General features: G+C 38.0%; 1 protein-coding gene across 1 annotated transcript; it reads right to left on the reverse strand.

The window, feature by feature from the left end:
* Positions 1-219: 219 nt before the first annotated feature.
* On the reverse strand, positions 220-1,845 carry PGK2 (phosphoglycerate kinase 2). The gene has a single exon (NM_138733.5). The coding sequence runs from the start codon at positions 1,745-1,747 to the stop codon at positions 494-496; it is 1,254 nt and encodes a 417-aa protein (NP_620061.2). The 5' UTR covers positions 1,748-1,845; the 3' UTR covers positions 220-493.
* Between the last annotated feature and the right edge of the window lie 6,563 nt (positions 1,846-8,408).

Below are 8,408 nucleotides of genomic sequence, written 5' to 3' on the forward strand. Positions count from 1 at the left end.
TTTTTTGGTCCTATTTAGTATAACATTTCCCCTTAGCAGAACTTTAATGGTACCCATGAGTTCTTTATATGTAATTATTTTTCTCAGTTTATTTGGGCATATTTATTGTTTGTTTGTCAACTTTCATTCCACCCTTTCCCAACAAATTAAGTTTTATCTTTTGGGTTTCAAATTATGAAACAATAGCAAAGTTGGACTAAAATAAAAAGATTCAGTTTCTTCAGCTCACTTTCTTTAATAGGCAACTTAAGAATATGTCCTCCCTAGATAGCACAATGGTGAAGTTCAAATGAGAACTTGAACAGGCAAATGCGTGACCAAACTAAAATGAATTGCTGTGCTGATATTAAGAGTTCCTGATGGCCTGCTGCTTGTCCATTACATAGGTCTTGATCTAGGAGTAGATTTTAACAAAAGTCACATCGAGATGTAAAAGCATTAAGCTGACTTAAGGGCCATGGACAGAAAACAGAAGGAAGTAACACTATATTAACTACATGTTGCTGAGGGCCTCTACTCCAGGAAGGATTTTACCTTCCAGAAGCTCTAGACTGGCACCGCCTCCAGTGCTGACATGGCTGACTTTATCTTCAGTGTTCCATTTGGCACAGCAAGTAGCAGTGTCTCCACCCCCTATAACAGTGATGCAGCCCTTGGAAGTGGCTTTCACAATTTCATCCATGAGGGCTTTGGTTCCCTTAGCAAAGGCATCCCATTCAAATACTCCTAACGGCCCATTCCAAACAATTAGCCTTGCTTGAGCCACAACTTGAGCATGATTCTTGTTGCTCTCAGGACCACAGTCCAAACCCATCCAGCCAGGAGATATGCCAGATGCTACAGTGGCTTTTCCAACCTGAGCGTTCTCGTCAAACTTGTCCCCAGTAACAAAATCAACAGGAAAAGTAATCCTTACACCATTCTTTTGTGCTTTGGCCATGATATCTTTAACGATCTTGGCTCCCTCTTCATCAAACAGGGAAGCACCAATCTCCATGTTGTTGAGTACCTTAAGGAAGGTATAAGCCATTCCACCACCAATAATCATCTCATTGACTTTGTCCAGCATATTTTTGATAAGTTGGATCTTGTCTGCCACTTTGGCTCCACCAAGTATAGCCAGAAAGGGTCTCACTGGGTTTTCCAAGGCTTTAGCAAAGTAATCTAGTTCCTTCTTCATCAAGAATCCGGATGCTTTATGGGGCAGATTCACTCCCACCATGGAACTATGAGCGCGGTGTGCAGTGCCAAAAGCATCATTGACATAGACGTCCCCTAGCTTGGAAAGTGATGCTCGGAAGGCTTCTATTTTATCTGGCTCAGCTTTAATCTTCTTTCCAGAGGGATCTTGGCCCTTCCCTTCTTCCTCCACATGAAAGCGCAGGTTCTCCAGCAGGATGACTGAACCAGGAGCTGGGTTGGCACAGGCTTTCTCCACTTCTGCGCCTACACAGTCCTTCAGGAACAGAACATCCTTGCCCAGCAAGGATTTGAGCTCAACAGCAACAGGTGCTAAGGAATATTTGTCAGGCATGGGAACACCATCAGGCCGACCTAGATGACTCATAAGAACTACTGCCTTGGCTCCATTGTCCAGGCAGTACTTGATGCTTGGGATGGAAGCCTTGATCCTCTGGTTGTTTGTAATCTGGTTCTTCTTCATGGGAACATTGAAGTCTACTCTCATGATGACTCGCTTCCCTCTAACATCCAGTTTGTCTAAAGTCAACTTCTTAGAAAGAGACATCTTGACAATATAAAGACATAGGCTGACACCTGGATCTTAATGCTGAAGAACCAACTTGCTGTTGAGGGGCTGGGTCGGTGGTGACTTCTAACGCCTTTGCCCTTGTCCCGCCCCTTTCTTCTCCTCACTGTCTCCAGCACAACGGCCACTGTTAGACTGGAAAGCAAATCTAGCTTTGTGATTGGCTCATGGTCCTGTCAATCTCGATCTGAACTGTGTTGCTAGGTGAAGATTCCAACTTCCTGGGCAGAGGGTCATGTAGTGGAATAGAGCTGTACCTGGCTTCAGGCGAGACTTGGGTAGGTGAAGAAACCCCAGAATAAGAATGGTTCTAAAAAAACAAGAATAGTCCTGAGGTGTGCGCCGCCTTCTGGCTCTTTTTGCCCCCACCCCACAGCTCGGTTAACAGTTGCTTTTATTATTAAAAACAAAACAAAAAGAACTCCACCCCCACCCCCGCAAACCTACATACACCTCATTCATGTCAAATCTTAACCATTTTGATATGTAAAAACCTCTGCAGTGCCAAATAAAAGGAATATTTGAAATAATGATTTTCATATGAAACCTTGCTTATTCAAGTCAGGATAGTATAGTTCTGTTTTTTCCTTGTCTTGATAAATATTTCTTTGAGGATGTGGCTTGTTGTTAGTCTTCATCTTTAGATCTATTCTGGGACGTGGTGGGAATGCTGTCATATTTTCATTACTTTGCTTCTTCCATTTTCAGACTACCATGAAAGAATGTTTGGTCACTTCTGCAGGAGAATCCCATAAGATCATAGCAAAGAGAGTATCAGTAACAAGTGCTGAAAGTAATGGTGACATTTCTTTCAGACTACAATGTTATGATGAGGCTCCTTATTTTTTGTCTCCTCTCTGTTTGCTTTCCTACCTGTACAACTTAGAAATTGAGCTGAAAAATAAATGCATGGTTTTCATGAAGATGAAAACATATATTAGAATTGAAAGTGAGTAAGATATTCTATTTTTGGAGAAAGCAAATGTATGTGGCTAGTTGGTTTAGTAATGAAAATTGGCTTTACAGTTTTTTTCATTCTACTCCATAAGTTGAGTGAACTAAATATGTAAAATGAAGGCTTTGACAGAAATATATTTGAGGCATCTCCTATTAAGATGGCTAAAATAAAAAATAAAAACAAGTGTTGAGAAAGAAGTGGACAAATTGGAATCCTCATTTATTGCTGATAGGAATGTCTAATGGTGCAGCCACTTTAAAAAACAGTTTATCGGTTCCTCAATGTTGAACATCGAGTCAACAGCATTTAAAAGCAAACTTAAATGGTGTTAAAATATATAGTAACAGAAACTCTCATTTGTTGCTCCCAGGAATGAAATATGCTACAGACATTTTGGGAAACAGCTTGGCAATTTCTTAGAAATATGCATAGACTTACCATACAAGTCATCAATCCTATTTCTAGATATTCATCCAAGGACATCAAAAACCTGTATTCTCTCAAACTTCTGTAAACAAACGTTTAGAGCAGTTTTATTAATAATTACCAAAATTGTATATTCTTCAAGTAATAAATAAATAAACTGTGATATATCCATGCAATGGAATATTATTTTTTAAAAAAAGAAAAGAAACAAGCTATTTACTTACACAAAAGCCCTGGATAAAACTTAAATGTGCCTTACTAACTGAAAGACGCCAGGCAAAAAAATTTTGTAGTTATTGTATAATTCCATTTGTATGACATTTGATAAAAGGCAAAACTATAGGGATGGAAAACATATCAGTGGTTGCTACAGGTTAAGAGAGCGTGGTCAACTATAATGGGGATACACAGGAGGATTTTTAGTGTGGTAAACTTTTCTATGAGGTACTGGAGTGGTGGATACAACATTCTATGCACTTGTCAAAATTCATAGAATCGTACGTTGTAGAGAGTAAACTTTAATGAATGCAAATAAAAAATATGATCCAGAGTGTTAGGGAATCGTATTATATAATGTAGCCTCTGACAGATAAGCCTAACTGTATCGTAATATATAGGAAATTTTACTACATGTGATGTGGAAATTTTACTACAGGTGATGTGGACAAAAAAAGGAAATGACTTAAGTAACTTTGCAAAAGAGGTTTTCAGTTTGTAAAACTAAAGACAAAAACAGCTGTCCATAAATATAATACTCTAGTTGGTAAGTTTGAATATCACAAGCTTATAGGTGAATAATTCTTAAACTATTTGTGTTATTAGAGATAAACAAATAATGGAAGATAATTAAAAGTTTCTCACCGTCAGGAAAATAAATTACAAATAAGCAAGGGCAGAATGAACTCTGTGGTGCTGGATTAAGAGTCTGAGATATCGGTATGAACTCATATTAAGTTCAATATACACATAGGTTGATATGGAAAATAATTACAGATATATGTGTATAAATATGTGTTAATTTTCTCTTGCTACTGAAGCAAGTTGTCACAAATTTAGCTACTTGAAATAACACAATTTTGTGTTCAAAAACAATTCTGTAGGTCAGAGATTCAGGTTGGCTCTGCTGGTTTCTTGCTCTGGATTTCATAAAGTTTTGATGGCTGGGTTTTCATTACAAGGCTCTAGGAAGAATTTACCTCTAAGCTCATTTAGGCTTTTGGCAGGATTCAGTTCCTTGCAATTATAGGACTGAGCTACCTGCTTTTGGCTGGCTGTTAATAAACCCCTAAAGGCCCTCTCAGGTTTGTAGGTTCCTGTATCTGAGAGCCAGCAATGATGCATTGAATTCTTCTTACAATTGGAATCTCTCTGATTTTCATTTCTACTCCATCTGTTTTCCACTTTCATCCAGAGAAAATTCTCTGCTGTTAAGGACTCATTTGATTAAGTTGGGCCAAACTAGATAATACAGGATAAACTCCCTAATTAAATACTGTGATATAATTATATCTGCAAAGTCTCTTTTGTCATGTAGCATCAGTATTTACAAGTTCTGGGGAATAGGACATGGACATCTTTGGTGGGCCGTTATTCTGCCTACTCAAACAGGATTTTGATAAACGCAAATATTTTCAAGCTCTGTTCGTAAGAGGGCAGAGAAGCAGTGACTTATAAATAAATAAGTGGGGGTGGGGGAAAGGACAAAACTTCTCTACAGAGGAATTCCAAATAATGTATGTAGACACATTCCTCTACTAGAGGTGGAGCTTAATGGACTGTTTGAATGTAGTGATAAATAGATTCTGAGTATTCAAATTACTATTCACCATGATTTACAAATACTAGATTTGAAAGACCCAAAAGGAAAATATACTCTTCTGTTTTGGCACCTTTCTGTAAAGAAGATTTGCAGTGTGCTCTGCACTGAGCTAAACCACAAGGGCATTTTGTCACCACTTCCCCAAGATCTGTCTTCATGTAACAGCATCAAGCTCTGAGGACCTTGTCTTTCAAAATTAAAATCCTGTTACCACGTATCATCCCACATAGAGGCTGAAATGTCTTCTTGACTAAATCCAGTTTTCATCTATGTTCACAGTATCAATGTCTCTACGTTCTCCTGTTCTTGGACAGGTTTTCCAGGTTTTCTTTATGCAAATGTCCTCTGTTTCTCTCCAGGTCTTTTAAGGGCTGCTTACTTAGCTACTAGTATTTGCTCATGGTGGTGACTGATTAAAGTCTATGATGGAAAGATTTCATTATAGGTTATCCATTTTCTTTGAAAATTGAAACATGTTATGGATATAATCTATTATTCTTTCTATTAGGAAGCCTGTGAAATATTTGGGGCAGTTTACCTTCAATTCACCTTTCCATTGACAATGATTGTAAAATATGCAAATATATATTCCATACGTTATGCAGAGTTCTGGGTGCTGAAATGACTAATAATCTATAGGTATGTATATTCTCATGTACATATTGTGTCATTTTAGTCACTAATTTTTAATATTTCGAAACACACCAATCCTTCTTTTAACAATTTAAAAACAATTTTTAAATTGTTTATGAATTTGTAAATGTCCCTATTAATAATAGCAGCAAACTTCAATTTATGCATTTGAAAATGTTTCCATGAGTTTTTGGGATCATTGTAAAAGGTAGACTAAGGTGGCTGTATGGTGCTATCTCTCCCTTTCAATGGCGAAAACCGCTACTCTTGCGTCAACCTAATATATAACTTTTTACACAGTGCAGAATTAGTTTGAAAACAACATAATAATTCACACGATAACATTATGTATGAATTAGCCAATGCATTTCTTTTAAAGTATACTTTTTTGCATTTGTTCCTCCATCTACTTATCTATTCTTCTTTTTTTTCTTTATTATTATTATTATTATTATTATACTTTAAGTTTTAGGGTACATGTGCACAATGTGCAGGTTAGTTACATATGTATACATATGCTATGCTGGTGCACTGCACCCACTAACTCGTCATCTAGCATTAGGTATATCTCCCAATGCTATCCCTCCCCCCTGCCCCCACCCCACAACAGTCTCCAGAGTGTGATGTTCCCCTTCCTGTGTTCATGTGTTCTCATTGTTCAATTCCCACCTATGAGTGAGAATATGCGGTATTTGGTTTTTTGTTCTTGTGATAGTTTACTGAGAATGATGATTTCCAATTTCATCCATGTCCCTACAAAGGACATGAACTCATCATTTTTTATGGCTGCATAGTATTCATGGTGTATATGTGCCACATTATCTTAATCCAGTCTATCATTGTTGGACATTTGGGTTGGTTCCAAGTCTTTGCTATTGTGAATAATGCCGCAATAAACATATGTGTGCATGTGTCTTTATAGCAGCATGATTTATAGTCCTTTGGGTATATACCCAGTAATGGGATGGCTGGGTCAAATGGTATTTCTAGTTCTGGATCCCTGAGGAATCGCCACACTGACTTCCACAATGGTTGAACTAGCTTACAGTCCCACCAACAGTGTAAAAGTGTTCCTATTTCTCCACATCCTCTCCAGCACCTGTTGTTTCCTGCCTTTTTAATGATTGCCATTCTAACTGGTGTGAAATGGTATCTCATTGTGGTTTTGATTTGCATTTCTCTAATGACCAGTGATGGTGAGCATTTTTTCATGTGTTTTTTGGCTGCATAAATGTCTTCTTTTGAGAAGTGTCTGTTCATGTCCTTTGCCCACTTTTTGATGGGGTTGTTTGTTTTTTTCTTGTAAATTTGTTTGAGTTCATTGTAGATTCTGGATATTAGCCCTTTGTCAGATGAGTAGGTTGCAAAAATTTTCTCCCATTTTGTAGGTTGCCTGTTCACTCTGATGGTAGTTTCTTTTGCTGTGCAGAAGCTCTTTAGTTTAATGAGACCCCATTTGTCAATTTTGTCTTTTGTTGCCATTGCTTTTGGTGTTTTAGACATGAAGTCCTTGCCCATGCCTATGTCCTGAATGGTAATGCCTAGGTTTTCTTCTAGGGTTTTTATGGTATTAGGTCTAACGTTTAAGTCTTTAACCCATCTTGAATTAATTTTTGTATAAGGTGTAAGGAAGGGATCCAGTTTCAGCTTTCTACATATGGCTAGCCAGTTTTCCCAGCACCATTTATTAAATAGGGAATCCTTTCCCCATTGCTTTTCTCAGGTTTGTCAAAGATCAGATAGTTGTAGATATGCGGCGTTATTTCTGAGGGCTCTGTTCTGTTCCATTGATCTACATCTCTGTTTTGGTACCAGTACCATGCTGTTTTGGTTACTGTAGCCTTGTAGTATAGTTTGAAGTCAGGTAGTGTGATGCCTCCAGCTTTGTTCTTTTGGCTTAGGATTGACTTGGCAATGCGGGCTCTTTTTTGGTTCCACATGAACTTTAAAGTAGTTTTTTCCAATTCTGTGAAGAAAGTCATTGGTAGCTTGATGGGGCTGGTATTGAATCTATAAATTACCTTGGGCAGTGTGGCCATTTTCACAATATTGATTCTTCCTACACATGAGCATGGAATGTTCTTCCATTTGTTTGTATCCTCTTTGATTTCCTTGAGCAGTGGTTTGTAGTTCTCCTTGAAGAGGTCCTTCACATCCCTTGTAAGTTGGATTCCTAGGTATTTTATTCTCTTTGAAGCAATTGTGAATGGGAGTGCACTCCTGATTTGGCTCTCTGTTTGTCTGTTGTTGATGTATAAGAATGCTTGTGATTTTTGTACATTGATTTTGTATCCTGAGACTTTGCTGAATTTGCTTATCAGCTTAAGGAGATTTTGGGCTGAGACAATGGGGTTTTCTAGATATACAATCATGTCGTCTGCAAACAGGGACAATTTGACTTCCTCTTTTCCTAACTGAATACCCTTTATTTCCTTCTCCTGCCTAATTGCCCTGGCCAGAACTTCCAACACTATGTTGAATAGGAGTGGTGAGAGAGGGCATCCCTGCCTTGTGCCAGTTTTCAAAGGGAATGCTTCCAGTTTTTGCCCATTCAGTATGATATTGGCTGTGGGTTTGTCATAGATAGCTCTTATTATTTTGAGATACGTCCCATCAATACCTAATTTATTGAGAGTTTTTAGCATGAAGGTTGTTGAATTTTGTCAAAGGCCTTTTCTGCATCTATTGAAATAATCATGTGGTTTTTGTCTTTGGTTCTGTTTATATGCTGGATTACGTTTATTGATTTGCGTATATTGAACCAGCCTTGCATCCCAGGGATGAAGCCCACTTGATCATGGTGG

This window comes from Homo sapiens, chromosome 6 (genome assembly GCF_000001405.40).
Source record: "Homo sapiens chromosome 6, GRCh38.p14 Primary Assembly".
NCBI lineage: Eukaryota > Metazoa > Chordata > Mammalia > Primates > Hominidae > Homo > Homo sapiens.